This window comes from Homo sapiens, chromosome 3 (assembly GCF_000001405.40).
Source record: "Homo sapiens chromosome 3, GRCh38.p14 Primary Assembly".
In the NCBI taxonomy this organism is placed as follows: domain Eukaryota; kingdom Metazoa; phylum Chordata; class Mammalia; order Primates; family Hominidae; genus Homo; species Homo sapiens.
Window position 1 is genome coordinate 188,037,371 of NC_000003.12, and position 17,437 is coordinate 188,054,807.

General features: G+C 45.7%; 1 long non-coding RNA gene across 1 annotated transcript in view, besides 1 other annotated feature; it reads right to left on the minus strand.

Moving 5' to 3' along the window:
* Positions 1-5,227, minus strand: part of LOC107986166 (uncharacterized) — a 48,325-nt gene extending 43,098 nt beyond the window's left edge. The window contains exons 1-2 of the long non-coding RNA XR_001741061.2: positions 5,153-5,227; positions 4,748-4,834 (exon numbers count right to left, since the gene is read on the minus strand). This is a non-coding gene — a long non-coding RNA (uncharacterized LOC107986166). The remainder of the gene's footprint in view (positions 1-4,747; positions 4,835-5,152) is intronic.
* Positions 14,825-15,797: an enhancer, noted in NCBI's record as "H3K27ac-H3K4me1 hESC enhancer chr3:187769983-187770955 (GRCh37/hg19 assembly coordinates)". NCBI's record gives its function as "activates a minimal SCP1, AML or CMV promoter by ChIP-STARR-seq in naive H9 embryonic stem cells {active_cell/tissue: H9 hESC(naive)}" and the evidence as "EXISTENCE:reporter gene assay evidence [ECO:0000049][PMID:30033119]".

A 17,437-nucleotide genomic window follows, 5' to 3' on the forward strand; every position in this document is an offset into this window, starting at 1 on the left:
TTGAGAGAATAGTCTCTTCCTTTTAAACCACCCTAGGAAACTCATACGCATGGCAACAGTATTTTCTTTACTCTCATGAGCCTAAAAATGCACATTTGATGTTGAACCTGCGGAAAGTGAAAGTTTGGGATAGAAAGACAGGAAGTGGAGCCCATGGGACTATCATCTCAATTCATCCACCTCCTGCGGGAGATTTTTCTATGTCCTTTCTAGTGATTCCTGCACACCCTCACACCCACCCCACCCCACCCCTAAATACTGCCTTTACAGGAGCAGATATAGTTCCTTGGTTGTATAACTCTTGATGGAAACTTAAATTCAAGTGTAAGGAAAACAGCAAATTTGGAGCCAGAACGCAGACTGAGCCCTGATCTACCACCTCCTGTGCAGCTTTGGCCTCAGGCAGTTTATTTTACCCCTAGTCTACTCAACTGAAAAATACCAGCAATAATTCTAACCCCCCAGAGGATGACTTTTTGTGAAAACCAATCAAATAAGTTAATGCCCATGCCTTCACCTGGATTATCTGGGGAAAATTTGAAGCAAAGCTGACATGCTGCTGCTTTCTGAGACAGCATAATTCCAGGCAGCAAGAATAAGGGTGAAGGGAGGGAGGCAGAAAGGAGGGGGGAAAAATGCAAGAAGGTGAGGACCACACTGGCCACAGCACCACCAGGGAATGTGGCCAATGACTCATTCTTGTGAGATATTGTCCTTGAGGGAACCACTGCAATACAGAATATTGCTGGAGCAGGGAGGAGCTGGAAGAAAGGTGAGGGTGTGATAGTCACCTCCCTTCTGCCTCCCTTCTCACATGGGGCAAACTTCATCTCATGGAGAGTTAACTCTCCTGGATCTCCGTGGTATCACCCTACTCCTCTGAGCAGCCCTGGGGAAGCAAGATGTGAGTCATCATCTGGTGGAAGGAGGAAAGCAACATGGTCCCATCTGGTTGGTTCTAGCACTGGAGCTGTGATAGCACGGCTCCCATCCAGCAGGTGTGGCAGAGGCCATGCCACAGCCCAGCCCTTTCCTGAGTGGGGTGGGGATGACTGAGGAAGCTGGCAGTAGTAGGAGATGCCAGAAAGGTATCAGCCTCCGAGACATTCCCCTAAGTGAGCCGCAGGCGTGGAGGCAGTGGGGACGCAGAAATGGACTGGCACATAAATGGGGTCCAAAGCTTTGTGTGAAACAGATTGGGAAATGTCAACTGTTTTACATATATTACTTCACTTGGCTATTTTTGTTATCTTCCTGTAGTTTTAACTTTTATTATCTCAAGTAATTTTAAGGGAATAACCCACCATTCTTTCAGGTGCACCAACACTTATTTGGATATGGTTTGTCTCATCTTCACGTACAAGAAACAAACTTAGTAAAAAACTGGTGAGAACTTGGTTCTCACTTAAACAATATGGCAACTGATTGTGGAGGACACAGTCAACTAGGGACAACACAAGTTGCCCTAGGGTTCCCTGGGAAACAGACTCTGAGATGAAGCTTCGTGAGCAGGGAGTTTATTGGGAATGCAAAGGAGTGAGGGAAGCAGGATTGGGTGGCAGGAGAGGTTGAATGCACTGTGGTTGGTCAGGAGCTGGTGTGGCTTTTCAGAATTGTCTGGGATTGAAGCCACGGGGTCAGGTCTCTGCATCCCTACATCAACTAGTCATTGGATGGGATCTGTGCCTAGGATGGAGGTTTCACCTTGGGTAAGGCAGCTCCCTTCAGGCTACGGCAATTCCTAGGAAGAGATTCAGCTGTGATCCCAGCAGTACTGAGTAGCAGAAATGAGTCCCTCAGTTCCAAAGGGCATTCAGGGGGGCCGCATCACAGCATTCATGACAACTGTGTTTCTGCAGAAAGAGGGAGTGGGTTCTATTGGCTGTTGCCCTCATCTTACATGTCTTTTGTGGACTGATCATTCTGCAAGGAAAAGCATGTTCACCTTCTTCATAGTTCCATAAGTAAAGTGACTTTTAATCCCCTTTCTATTTCCCATGCCAACATATGGATTGGACACTTCTGGGTTTTTTCAGCATCCTTTGGTTTATCCCACCTCTCACGAAGGAGGAGCAGGAGCCAATCTAATCAGTGGAGGCTGACAGCCTCGGGACACATGTTTGCTCCCTGGGCCACTGAGGCTGCTTGTGGCCCCACGCATGGATGACTGGATCCTTGGCCCCTCCTCTCCCAGCCTCCTGCAACCTTTGCACAAGTGAACCCAGGGTCTGTCTTCCAGAGGCAAGTCTGGCTTACCAATCTATCTTGTCCAGCTTTTCTCTTTCTGGCTGGCAAGTAAGTCAGATGGCCTGCATACTGCAGGCCCAAATGCCTGCAGTTCATGGGTGAAATGGGAGGCCTCGTATGACCTCATCTCCAAGGTGCTTTCTACAAACGTTTACCAAATGCATATCAAGGATAACCAAGCTGCTAAAAAAAATTTATTTCACATCATAGTACACAAGCATCATTTATAGTTTGGCTTTGAGAACTTTTCTGGTATTACATTTATGGAAAATGTATAAAAGAAATAAGTTTTGGTTATATTTTTATATTTAGAAAGTAAAAATTTGCTTAAATTGATCACTGTTCTTTTTTTATTTGATTGTCATTTCAATAAAAAATATTTGAAAGAAAAAACTTTATTTTAATTCTCATTTGATTAGTGAACTAGGTGTCTATGTTCATTTTTCTCATTTTTATTCACTTAGCAAATATTTATGGAGTAAGTATTATGTGCCAGGCCCTGTGCTAAGTGCCGGGAAAGTGGAGGTAAACAAGATAGGTAAGATCCCTGCTTTTAAGGAATTTATATTTTACTAGGGTTACAGAGACAATAAATAAATCAACAAATAAGCACACCATGCCAGATCTTGAAAAGTGCTTAAAGGGACTGAAACAAAGAGTGATTGTGCAGGGTGGAATGAAGTGAGGTGTGAGGCAGCTGGTAAAGACTGGGTGGTTCGTTGAGCAGGGGACATCTGAGCTAAGTCTTGAATGTCTAGAAAGAACCAGACATGGGAAGATGTACAGAAAGTATTTCCCATGGAGGTACCAGCTGGTGCAAAGGCCCTGGAGTAGGAACGAGCTTGCAGGCTTGAAGAACAAATAAGTCCATGTATTTGGAGGATCATGGGCAAGAGGGAAGAGGCAGGATGTAAGGTCAGAAAGAAAGCCAAGGACCAGATTATGAGGGATTTATACAGGCTCAATCACAGTATTTCTTAAAATGTGCAATGTACCCACCAGTGGTATCTTGTTTGTTTGAGGTGGTATATCTGCAAATATTTATATTAAAATAATTACATATCCATTTTAGAACATATTGGGAAAAGTATAATTATCATATCAAAACTATGATTTCCCAGATATTACCCTTCAGGTGAAACTAAATTAAAAAGTGAATCAGTGTAAAGAGAATATTAAGTCAATTATAGTACAGGTGTTATGCAGATATAGCAAAGATCTCAAAAGTAATGTTTGCAGAACTGAAGTTCAAGAAAATACTGCTTACCAATTAGACACAAGAGGGGAGAAATACACACCTGCCCTCCCCTCCACACCCCCAACGCACCCATCCACCCTGGTCCACCCAGCATCTAGCAGGTCGTCCATGCTGGCTGCTCAGAAGTGGGAGGTGGAAGAGGTGCCTAGTGTGGCAAAGATGGCCTGCTTTCCTTCAAATGTCCCCCACTCTCACTGTGTAGAGTTGTCTCCAATGGGGGAGCAGGCTAGCCAGGGACTGTATTTCCCAATCCATGTTTCTGGAAGGAGATACCATAGGACTGGTCTCACCAGTGGAATCAGAGTGGAAGATCAAATGTCACTTTTTGTGCCTCCTCCACTCTCTGTCCCTCCATCTGCCAGCAGGATCATTGAGAGGGCTACAGGGCAGTGCCTAGGGGATAGCAGAGATTTAAGATAACAGGTCCCTGAGGCCTGGAATCACTACATGGAAGAAAACCACCCACTGACCAGGAACTGTCACATAAGAGAGAAACCGCTTTTGTGTTAAGCCACTGGCATTTGTGGTTTTCTTGCTACAGAAGTTAGTTAAACCATACCTAGAATCATTGCCCTTTGGGAGATACCACATCCTAAGAATATGGCAACTATACCACATATGAATTGGTTGAGTTTAATTGGCAGAAAAGTAGTTGAATGGGAGTTAGATACATGATCTGTTTTTATATACTCAAAAGACTGTCTTGCAAGACAGGGATTTGGTACGTTCTGAGAGGAGCAATCATTGGAAGTTACAAAAAGGCAACTTTCATCATTGTGTGGAAGACAAGTTTAAAATAGGACAAGACAGCTGCCCTGCACAGTCATACAGGAGGTGTATAAACTGTTCAAATGAAGGGCGCAGGAATACAGGAGAGGAAAGCCAGGGTTTTCGGGGGTTGGGGGGGGCAGTTTGGTGGTGAAGATATTCTGCATTGGCTGAAAGGGTGGCTCCAGGGCCTCTGAGAACTCCCCATTTCTCCTTCCCCAATTCTGAGTCTCTCTCGTCTCTTGACACTTGAGAAGGTTGGGGCAGGAAGGTGAGAGAGAGCTTGATGAGAAAGCTCACCTTAACAGCTTTCTATTTTTGAGATCTACCCCTAAGGCACCTGACCCTATAGGCTGGTGTGCCCCAAGAGCACAGGCAAAGAAAGCTCAAGCACCCTGAGGAATCTGACTCACACTGGGACTTAGGTCCCAGGTCCTGAAGCCATTTCCTTGCGAAAGAGCATGACCAGAGCACACCTGAGCTCAGCAGACATGGTATCCAAATCCGCAATGCGTAGCATTCAGTTCCTTTGCTCTCCAATACACAGTCCAGGCAGAGCACCTGCAGAGAAAGACGTAATTTTTCTGAGAGAGAGGATGGTGGCCCAGCCCAGGAATGTGCAGCTCGGAAAGACAATCCCCTCTGCTGTGGATGGCCTGACTGCTCAGAGACAAGCAGGACAGGCTAGTAGTGAGTGCCAGGGCCTCCAGAAGGGATCTAGGTCAGAGCTCAGAGCTCAGATCCAGACAGAAATGAGTGAAGTGGGCCTAATGTAAGGCAAGAAGAAATGGTAGGGACTATGGCAAAATTAAGAAAGAAAATCAGAAGCAAGAGGAATTAAAAATGGAAAAGTTCCTCTTTGACAAGCCTTTCACTTACAAATAAGAAGACAGAAGCTCAAAGAAGGCAGGGTCTTCCTTCAAGTCACTGTTTCGGGGCAGTGTTAAGAACGAGAACTCAAGGCTTCTCTATCCAGTCACTGTTCTGCTGACGAGCAGGGGTGGGATCAAGGGAAGGTCACCAGCACATGGAGAGCAGCCACAGTGGAAGAGACAGCCCTGGCTGGGAACTTGGAAAACAGATCCCATCCTGACTCTGCCTTCAACTCCTGAGCTTGGGCAGTACCTTGTATTTCTCTGGGCTACAAAGACGGTTGAGCAGGTGGTCCCAAACATCCCTTCCAACTCCGACATTCGCAGGACATTTGCAAGGAGAAATAGAAATTATTATTTAGACATTTCTTTGCTCACCCCCAGCTCTGATCAGACTCTTAGTCCCTTGGAGTTTAACCCCTACATATCTCTTGAGCTCAGCCCCCTTTTCCCATCCTCTGACACAGCTTTGGCATAACCCTCATCATCTCCCTCCCAAATGGCTGAAAGGGCCTCCTGGCCAGCCTCCTTCCTTCATTCTCGACCCATCTTATCCATTCACAGCTGCCAAAGTGCTACATCAACAAGAAAGTTGATTATATCATGCTTTTGCTGACCACCCTCTGTGGCTCCCCAGTGCCTTCTGGAATAAAACTCAAATTTAACACCGTATCTTGGGCCCTCAAAAAATGAACCCAGCTTCATTTTCAGCTCTTACTCAGCTCACTTTTTCCAAATATTTTATGTCCCGCTATATCAAACTCCTTGCCACTTCATGAACACACTCTAAAGTTTCATCCTTCAAAACTTTTGACACATGTTGATCCTTGTGTTTTGAATGCCCTTCCACATCCTCTGTACTTGGTAGCAGTGGGAGGAGTAATCTATCCTAGTTTAGGCAATAAGAAGATGCATTATTTCTAGGAATTTAAAAATCAATAAGACAGCCTAAAATTTAGACATCTTTTTATTGTCATCTTGCACTGGCAATTGTAAACGTCAACAGTGATTAAAAAAATGCTTCTCCCTACTGGAGTAGACTACTGTAACCATCATCCTCCCTGGAGCACCACTAGAACATGGAAGTCCCCTATTATTCTTGAAAACTCAGCATATTACTTCATCTGTAAAGACCTCTCTTGACCCTTTAATCTATTCCTTCATTCTCCACTGAACTGCTAATTTTCCTGATTTATACTTTTATTTCACTACCTTTGTAAATGCTACATTTTACTTTGGTTTATGAGTCCGTCTCTCTCAAAGGGCAGTGAATTCCTTGAAGACAGTGGCTATACCTGTGTCTTCCTAAAGCTTGGCACAGCACCTGGGATGTAACAGGGGCACAGAAGATGGGTAATAAATGAATGAATGAGCATACTTTGAGCTCTTCTGAACACTGATTTAGGCATGATGGATTTCCAAGTCACAATGCAATTAAAAGCTCCAATTTATGCTTCAAAAGTTTTTGCAGATCAAGTCATAATGATCTGGCTGGAGGTCCTCTCCTTGCTGGGACACCACAGGAAGGTGTTCAGGTGGTACTGAAATGACTCACTACCCCAGTGGCTTAACAGGATTACCTAGGGGCTTACGTTGCTCAGTGAAGCATAGTGGGAGCCCCAGCAGTGCCAGCCAAGCCAAGAGCCGAAGCTGCTATCTGTGTGACTGGGGACTGGAAACTAAAAATTACTATAGTCCACTAGCTGAGAAGAGAAAGTTGCAGAAGAAACAGAGTGCCTCCCCTGCCCCTCCCCAATTGGTTTGCATCCTTCCTTTTACTCCCAATATCTCAGAATGCCTACCTAGAAGGAACTTGGGTTAAAATCTGGGTGACATCCTCAACTTGCAGGTTAGAAAGCTGAGGTCCAGAGAAAGGCATAAACTCTCAAGGCCGCATAGCTGGTAAGTGACAGAATTGAGAACTGAGTCTGCATATGTTCATTCCCTGTCCAGTGAGGGAGCATCAGGACCTGGAACCATGCAAGGAGGTGAAAGCTGAAGGTGGGGGGGTGAAGTCACACTGGTTTGTTGGTTTGTTGAGTTTTTTTTTACTTTGAATTGAAGTGAAATTCACATAATATAAAATTAACATTTTAAGTGTAGAATTTAGTAACATTTAGTACATCCACAATATTGTGCAACCACCACCTCTATCTGGTTACAAGACATTTTTTATCACCCCAAAAGGAAACCTTACACCATTAAGCACTCACTCTATTTCCCCCTCTTCCAAGACTGGCAATCACTAGTCTGCTTTCTGTCTCTATGGATTTGCCTATTCTAAACATTTCGTACAAATGAAACCATAGAATCTGTGGCTGTTTGCGTCTGGCTTCTCTCACCTAGCATGTTTTCAAGGTCAATCATGTTGTAACATGTATCAGTATTTCTTTCATTCCTTTTCGTGGCTGACTAATATTCCTTTGTGTGGGTATAACATATTTTGTCTATCACATCTGGTTTTAACTAAGTGTTGGGTGCTGGGGTAACAAGAAGCCTCTTAATTTATTCATGCTTTCTTCACTCTACACTCTTGAAAACAGGCACAGAGTGAGGACTTGGTAATGTCTACTGGGTGGGCGTTTATTGAATGCTTGCCACTGTTAGAGCTTAGTGAGGCTCCTAGAACTGACCTGGCAAGATGATGTGGAGAAGGATCATGCACTGAACCCAGTAGAGATCTGGGCTCTGGTTCCGGCTCTTCAATAATCAGCTGAGTGGCCCCAATCAGGTTCTTCCCCTTCTCTGGGCCACAGTCTCCTCAACTCTAAGCCAGGATAATAATGCCAGTTGCTTTCGTCTGTTCAGGTTCCTATAATACACTATCACAGACTGGGTGGCTTATTGACAACATACATTCATTTCTCACAGATATGGAGGCTGGAAGTCCAGGACCAGGTGCCAGCATGGGCAGCTTCTGGTGAGGGTGATCTTCCAAGTTGTAGACTACCAACTGCTCCTTGTGTCCTCATGTGGTGGGAAGGGGTGAGAGAGCTCTCTGGGGCCTCTTTTGTAAGGCCAATAATTCCACTCATGAGGACCTGGTTCTCATGACCAAATCACCTCACTAAGGCCCCATCTCCTAACACCATCCCGCTGGGGCTTAGGTTTCAACACATGACTTTGGGGAGGACACAAACATTCAGATAATAGCACCTGTCTAACTAATCACCTGCCAGGGCTACTGGGAGTCCTGAATGGAATAATATCTGTAAAAGTTCCCTGTAAACAACTCCTCTTATGTAAAGCTTATCTCATTTAAAACAAAACCAAAAACTCCTCACTAACCATCTACCTGTAAAGATATGGTTATTGACAGCAAATGGTGAGATAGAGGAAGATTCTCTACCAGGATTTCCTTCAGGGGGCCATATCTATTTGCTTGGGATAAAATACCTGGATGGGCACAGAAGGGACCTGAGTATGGGGAACTTTACTAAAGAAGACCAGGGATCAGGTGCCTGTTGCTCAGAAGAATGAGGTTGAGGACCAGAGAAGGCAGGAGGTGAAAAGACAGCAAGGGCTGCCGAGTCTATGAAGACTCCCCTCATGACCCTCGATCTTCAGTAAAGTTACCAAACTCACAAACGTCTGAATGCAAGTGGGTTTTTGTGAAGACCAAGTGAAGGAAATGGGCTTTGTTCCTGGAATGGGTGGTGCAGGACAGAACCAGACAGCACTCTTAGATAAGAGGGCATGAAAGCTGAATGAGGCATGATGATATATGGTGTGGGTACGGAGAGCAACTGCTCTGTGGATTCAAGGCTCTCATAAGGCTTGGCATTGGGGTTCGGGTCAAGTTTAATAGGATCTCCAAGGGCCTCCGCTGACATCTGGGCTGCACACAATTAGACATCCGCCACAAGGGCTGTGCCCATGGGCAAAACCACTGATGAGACCCATGGTGTCCCCACGCTGATATTACAGTGACTTATACCTTTCGACCCTATGCAGCCCTCAACCCTACAGCCACAGTACGAGAACTTGGATCTTGGCACTCGTTTGCTTTTGCTCCCAAACAATTGTTGGTTCAGAGGCCTTTATATGGCAACCACAAATGAATCAACTCTGCAAACAAGGCAGACCCTTGGAATGGCCCCTAAGTACTTTCTGCTGTCACCAGCAAAGAACTTGTGCAGTAACAGCCTCCCTCAGGACCTAGTAAACCTCTGTTCTTCTGCTCAGTTGCCAGGTGACATGCTAGTTACTGGCTTAGAGCAACATGCCAGTAAGATCAGTATGAGGCTTAGAGCTATGTCCAGTAAGATTAGTATGAGGCTTAGAGCTGTGCCCAACACAGTTAGCTTTGTACCAGAGGGAATGTTGTTCCTCATACCCCTTTACAAATCAGTTCCCTCCTGGATTTTGATCCTAAGAAAATCAACAAAAGCACAAAGCTGAATATCCTAAGATAATCTTTACAAAATTATCCATAATGCTAAGCAGCTGGAGACATAAAATTCCAACAATAGGTAAAAGGCAAGAAACTTGGTGTGAATCACCACAATGGCATTTCTGCAGCCATAAAAGAAAGATTGGAGCAATACGGCAAATTCATGTAATATTAAGCGAAAACACAGAACCCTAAATAGTATTTGTGACATGACTGCAACTATGTAAAAATGTGCATTGTATATGGACAAGAAGACAGATGGGACTATGGAAAATAAAAAAATATTGCAAAAGGTAGAATACCTACAGGCAGCTTTTTCTTTAATATTATCTTTTATATCATCCTCTTTGTATTTCACTAGGTTCAAACCTGCATTCTTATCCAGCTGTTTATCTGCATCTGTTTTCCCCACCCAATTAGATTTCATATATCTGTCACTATAAAGATATTTATAATTCTGTTTGTGCTGACTTGTTTCTACCTCCCTTACCTTGTAGAACCTTCTATAAGTGAAACCCACATGATATCGGGCAGGAGGTGGCTAAACAATAATGTGCCAGGCTGCTGTTGCTTGGGAGGTATTTACTAATGCTGCACTGGAAGTGTCGTGGTGCTTGCAAATAGAGGATCCATTTTCAGTTTGGACTCTAATCAGGAAGAAGGGACTCTTTCCATGTAAGAGGTTTTAAAACCCTTCCCAGCAACCAGGATGTGGGAACTAGAGCAGCCAGGGATGATGAATTCTGATCCTCACTGAGAAAATGGAGCTTCAGTATGATTAGGGAGCAACAGAGTGCTCCAGTATCATCAATGAGCAAGAGAGTGCTCCAGGATGATGGGTGAGCAACATAGAGCTCCAGCATGATCAGTGAGCAACAAAGTGCTCCAGCATCATCAGCAAGAAAGAGTGCTCTGGTGTGTCTGGTGAGCAGCTGCAGCACTAGTGGAGATGCCAGTTTCAGAGTAAACAAGCACAGATTAAAGATTCTCTGTGATCAGTAAGTCGGGGTCTAGAATAACTGATGGGCATTTCAGTCCAGATCACACCATGAAAAACCAGAGAAATGGGACCCAGAGGGGAGGATGCTAAAAACTCCAGGACTCTTCCTCTAGCCACCTGGATGCCAGATCCCTGCCCCAGATCCTTTATAATTGGCACCAGAACTCACAGTGCAGTCTCTGTTTCATTCATTTTCTATAAGATTATGCAGGAGATGGTATTTAGGTCTCATTCCAGAGAGTGAGCTCAGGCGTCCTCAGCTAATTTTCATTGAGGGTCAGGCTAAAGAATATCAGGGCTTGTGCTATAGAAACCTGGGCCAGGTGAGTTCTATCTGGCATCTAGAATCAGGGTTCTGCTCCCTGTATAGGCAAACCTGGGAGACAAACTGTCCCTGGAGAATTCTGTTTGAACAGGCTTGCTTCTTTTTGCATGAGCTGTCTACTGGATGAGGAAAGTCCTGATCATTACTTGTATAAAAACATCGCAGAGGAGAAGGATACATAAGAAAATGGTATAGTGGTCGGCTTTGAAAAGGAGGACATCTAGATAGTTGGGGAAAGGTTGAGAGGAACATTTTTATTGTATTCCCTTTATACCTTGTGATTATTTTAAACTGCTTATTACCAAATCAAATAAATGGGGTGAATAATGAATGGTTAGGTAAAATTAAAATGAAAAACTGAGGAGATTTGCCAGTGACATTTCTCTGAGTTGGAGACTGAGCTAGCTAGCAGACAATTTGGGTGGTAAATCAAAGGGTCCTGAGAAGAATTTTGCTTCACATAACAGAATGCCAGCCATCATATAAGTCAGTTATTCTGAAATGCAGTCTTAAGAGTTAAGATAATATTTCACTTGGCTGGGCATGGTGGCTCATGCCTGTAATCCCAACACTTTGGGAGGCCGAGGCAGGTGGATCACTTGAAGTCAGAAGTGTGAGACCAGCCCGACAAACATGATGAAACCCCATCTCTACTAAAAATACAAAAATTAGCTGAGTGTGGTGGCGCATGACTGTAATCCCAGTTACTTGGGAAGCTGAGGCAGGAGAATCCCTTGAACCTGGAAGGTGAGGTTGCAGTGAGCCGAGATCACGCCATTGCATTCCTGCCTGGGTGGCAGAGTGAGACTCTGTCTCAAAAAAACAAAAAACAAACAAACAAAAAAAGATAATATCTCATCATAAAATGCTCATATATTCCCTTAAAAGGGAAGAAGTAAATTTATTGTTATCTAATACAAATTCAAAATTAGCCATAACCACAACCTATTGGAAGGACAGGGGAACAACCAGTTTCTCCAGGACTAGAACTGTATCTCTGTGGTCCCAGGGGTCACTGTCTGCATTGTCAAGGAAGAAAAGTTTGGTAGGAAGCAGGATTTGCTACCAAGACGCACATGATCAGCTCCTCAGCTGCAGCGCCCTGTGGCTAGGAGGCAGGGGCCAGGTGTGAAGATCAAGTTCAGGTCCCTCAGAATTCTATTGCTGAACTGGCCATGCTGGGCAGTGGGACAGCAAGACTGGCCAGAACCCAGATCCAGAACACAGACAGGAACTCACTGCTATCCTCCAGAGCACCTTGGATTTGTCTCTGGGACAAAAAGCTATGCCTGCTCTCTTTGCAACAGGAGCCCAAAGCACTCTGCAAAAGCCTCATACTCCCTAGGAATAGTGATGCCTTGATGGAGGCAGGCATCCAAAAGGAAGGGAAAGAAGCCATGGAGGGAAAAGCTGGGGAGGAAGTTACTGCTCTATTATCATCAGGTGTGAGACAAGCACAGGTGTCTAAATAGTGAATGCCTTACAAAGGACAGACTCTTTGAGATAAGATGGCATCCGAGAGCTTTTGCCTTTCAACCCTGGGTGCTTTTTGGAAACCTGCCAGGTCTCCAAGTCCTGAAAAGGGATTGAAGTTTAGGTTTCTTAACCATATCTGAACACAATGACTTGTGCAAGCCTCAAAGTAAAAAGAGAACTGAGCTAACGTGGCCAGTCCTAGTCCTTTCTGGGGAAGGGTCACTCGTTCAAAAAGCAGCCAGCCTCTAAGATGCAGCAGTGCTTGAAATCCTGAGATCTAGGTGGCTGTCTGGAGAGCCAGGCCTCCAGTGCTCAGGAAAGGGCCACAACACCGCCAAAGCTCTGCTGCAGGAAGTGGTACTTTCCTGGCTTCACCAAAGCAGGGCGAAGGATGCCTCTCCCTTCTGCGCCTGATACCAGATCACAGTTGCTGAACCACTGTACCGGTCACATCTCTTTCACGCTTAAAAGCTTTCGGTGGCTCCTGGCTGCCAATCACTTCAATTTCCTCCTCCCTCTGGGATTCAGTGCCCCCAAATGTGGTGCTCAGCCATTCTCCAACCACAGCCCCTCCTCTCCCTGTTGCACTAATCCACTTGTCCATCTCCCCACAGACACCAAGTGAGCCCCAAGATTTCCTGCCACCACGTCCTGCTCAGGCTAGTTCCTCCCCCTGGAAGCCATTTCCCTACAATCTCTCAAAATGTCACTTTTTGGACTTTTAACTTTTCTTCACCCCAAATTCCATCTCTTCTATAAGAGCTTTCCTCATCTACTGCTGTGGACACCTAGTCAAGAGCAATTTCTTTCACCTCAGACATCTCTGTTTTTCTTAGAGCTCATAACTTTCTTTTTTATTTCCTTTCTTTTCTTTCTTTCTTTCCTTCCTTTCTTCCTTCCTTCCTTTTTTCTTTCCTTTTTTTTTCTTTCTTTCCTTTTTTTTGACAAAGTCTCACTCTCTCCCCCAGGCTGGAGCACAGTGGCACAATCTCAGCTCACTACAACCTCTGCCTCCCAGGTTCAGGCAATTCTCCTGCCTCAGCCTCCTGAGTAGCTGGGAGTACAGGTGCCCGCCACCACGCCTGGCTAATTTTTGTATTTTTAGTAGAGACAGGTTTTCACCATGTTGGCTAGGCTGGTCTCAAACTCCTGACCTCAGGTGATCCACCCACCTCAGCCCCCCAAAGTGCTGGGATTACAGTCGTGAGCCACCACACCTGGCCATAACTTTCTTCTTTGTGTTTGGATTATTGTGTGCTCCTTGTAGCTTTGCTCTGGATGGTAAACTCCTTGGAAACGGAAGTTTCCTCTTGCTTTCCATGACTTACTTCTCCTTGTTGGGTTGAGCTGTATGTTTGGGACAGACTAACTTGAGGAACTAAGTCCATGATGACTAGAGGAGCACTGGTTAGCTGAAGGTCTGCCAAGCTTGCTGTAAAAATATTTCAGCTTTAGGTGAGGAGCTGCACTGGCCAACCTGCTTCCTTGTAGCTCCAGGGTTTCATGCACGGGGTCTATGAATAGCCAAAGCAAAAGGCCACACTAAGCATCTTTTCTGCTCCTATCCCCAATCTTGAGTTCAGAAAGATCTGCTAGGGATCAGTGCTTTAAATCATCTCTCCTCACTCCCTGTAGAAAAGCCCTCCTTCCAGGAGCTGACTAATGCTTACTGTCCTTTCCCAAGGAGCACTTTTTTTTTTTTTTTTTAGACAGATTGTTGCTCTGTCACCCAGGCTGGAGTGCAGTGGCGCGATCTGGGCTCACTGCAACCTCTGCCTCCCGAGTTCAAGCAATTCTCCTGCCTCAGCCTCCTGAGTAGCTGGGATTACAGGCACACACTACTACGCCCAACTAATTTTTGTATTTTTAGTAGAGACGGGGTTTCACCATGTTGGTCAGACTGGTCTCCAACTCCTGACCTCGTGATCCACCCTCCTTGGACTCCCAAAGTGCTGGGATTACAGGCGTGAGCCACCGCGCCCACCCCAAGGAGCACTTTCTGTTGCTTTCTGGGCAGGCTGTGTTTTTACCCTGTGCCCATCTCTCTCTCCCTGGCCCTCTGGTCTGCCCGGCACAGGTAAGGAGTCCGAGAGTCACCCTTCTCCTATGAGTATTCCGGTGGCTGCTGCTCTACCCTTGGGAGGTGGAAAAGGCACCAGCACAAGGCTTCCCCCGCCCACTCATCTCAGCTTCTTGCTTTCTGCACTGGGCCGTGTGGGGTGCTGGGAGTTTCGTGATCACAAGGAAAAGAGATGCGGGCGCCAGGCAGGGAAGGAGGACAAAGAGCAATCCCCTTATTCATGCATTCTTCAGGAAAAAGAGAGAATTTGACCTGAGCCTATTTTCCGAATAATTCGGCATCAAACAGCAATGAGGCCTGGGACTTTGCCAAGTCTTTGTTTTGTTTTGTTTTTTTCCTTTCCTCCAATCAGCCCAAGGCAATGGGGAGTGGGAGGGGGTGGAGGGGTGGGGGCTACACGCACACTGGGGCTGAGAGGGAATGCTGAGCCTGCAGAAGTGGCCCATTGACAGCTCCTGCTCACAGCAGAGGGGCGGGTGGCACCCCCAGCCTACCACCACAAGGGCAGCTCTGTCCTGTGGGCACAGGGCTCCATCCCAGCCCCACCGGCTGGGAGAGAACAACATTTCCTTATAAGGCCCCGACCGCTTTGCCAAGGCTGGATGGCTCCAACAGACTGTAGCTTTCCATTCTCCTCGTCAGCTCCAGTGCAGGCCTTGAATGTAGCCCTTGTTGTCAGGCTCCTCCTCTCCTCCACAGCCCCCACCTCACCTACTTCCACTCCCTGCCAGAGCTAGCCCCACTGGCGCAGGATAAACAGCCCAGAGGCCTCTCCCACGCAGGGCCTGCCTCGGTTCAGGCCTGCTGGAGGCAGCACAGGGTAGCAAAAGGAACGTGGGAGTCACAGTTTCGGCTGTCCCTGTGCGAAGGGAAGGCCCTTTTCCTCATCTGGAAGATGGGGCTCTAATGGCCATGGGGTCCAAATTCTTTGCATTGTATTCAAAGTCCTTCCCAGTTAAGCTGCAGGTTAACTTCACTGTTTAACTGCCTTTCCATACCTTGAAGGCCAGATTTCCCCTAGCTCTTCCTGTTTCCCCCAAACGCACCTTGCTCACACAGGCCTCCACTGCTTCGTGCACGTGTTTTTCTCTACCTAGGTATTTATCTGCCTAGGTCACTCATCCTGCAGGCCCCACGGTAGGTATGCCTTCCTCCCCTCCCCAGGAAAAAGGAATCATTGCTTTCACTTCGCTGCTCAACATTTGTTTGCACCTCTCTTACAGCTTTTCTGTTTTGCAATTGCAATGATTTCTTTACCTGCCTGTTTCCTCTATAAGATGATGAGCTCCTCCAGGCTCACATGCTCTCCTCTTTCTTTATGTCCATGAGCTCAACCCACAGTACCAGGCACATAATCCAGCTTCACAAAAGATTGCTGCACAAATGCCTGAGCACACAGTGTTGCGTAAGTTCAAAAGAGACAACTATAGTGCAAATACTTGTAAACTATAAAGTGCTGTTAACCCATGAAATGTAAAACTTTATCTTGCTACCCTCCACTCTAATTCTACTGTTTGTCACACTGTTACAGCCCTTTTCCCTGTCTGACCAGTTCTGTATCCAGAATTCCAGGCTCACTGCAACCCCTCAGGAGGTTAACATCTATCACTAAGCCATTACTCATCTTTAGAATCCCAGTGTTGGGGGCTAAAAGGTATGTATCCGAATGTTGCCATACTAGAGTCCACAGAGGCCCTACAGACATACAGTGGCTAAATGGAGAAGCTGTGAGTCCCACTTTTACTATTTATTCATGCTAGGTTCCCACAGCATTCTGGGGGGAAAAATCTGGTGGCTTTAAAAGTTTGAAGCCCACTGATTAATGCTGTCTCAACATATGACAGTTGAAACAACTGAGCCCCCTAAAAGAAAAGCAGCTTTCCCCACATCTCATGTGTTAGCCACAAACTCAAGACCATACCCGGGATCCCCTACTCTTGCTCACCACAGCCATTGCCCTGCTTAGGGCAGAGTGATGACGGATGCAACTGCGTATCTGTCAAGCCGAATGCTTATGGGTCAGGGATACCTCAAGTTCCAAATAAAGAATTTCAGTCTCTGCCAAAACAAATCTTTCTGAATTGGAGATTCTGCAAAAATATCAGGTTAGGGATTTGCAAGCTCAGCACGGTTAAGTACTATAGTAAGACTGTCCCTCTATTCTCCAGGATCCCAGCAACTGTTTCAAAGAGAAATCTCCTATCCCAAGATAAATTAGCCTGTTCTCCGTCCACATAGGGAAGTTTTTCAGAGATATGTTTGTAAAGCGAAACCCATAGTTGATCATGAACCATGTTCTAACACTATTTGCCACAGAGCCAAATTCAGGATATAAGATGGTTCTGCCTTGGGCTCCATCCAAAAGGCTTAAGTTACATGAATACTAAAAATACTTTATTATAATGAGATTTCTGTGTTAGATGCCTAAGGGCAGACTGTTCAGGAAGCAAAATGAAGCCTAAGTAATACTGGGCAAGGACATAGGAGATGAAGCTCTAGTACCAACTCTGATACTTACTGTGAAACTTAAAGCAAGTCTTTATCGGCCTCGATTTTCTCCACTACAAAATGGGAACGATGATACCTTCACATTCTTTTCCAAAGACAGTAAGAATTAGATCAACTGAGACCATGAAAGTGAAGGTACGTTATGACATCAACCAAAAAAATACTGTGCCTAAATAAGAGCTAGTTAATCATAGGCAGTGTTCCTCCCTTTGGGCTGTTCTTCTGGGTACAGAAGAGAAAAAGCTTCCCTCTCCAGCTTCCTGTAATGTTTGCTCCAAACCCTAGCTCCCTCATGGCCACTGGCAACCATACTATTGCTGATCACTTTCCAGGAAATCGAGAGGAGTTAGGGCACTCCTATTAGATTTGCTTCAAGACGCTGGAGAGCAGACAAAGGGAACCATTCTGTCACCCTGTATTCTCTTCCCCTTCCTTCCTAGGTACAAAGAGAAGGGATTTTCCACTTGCAGGCTCTGGGCAGGCTGAGTGAATTTGGGAAGTTGTTTCTCT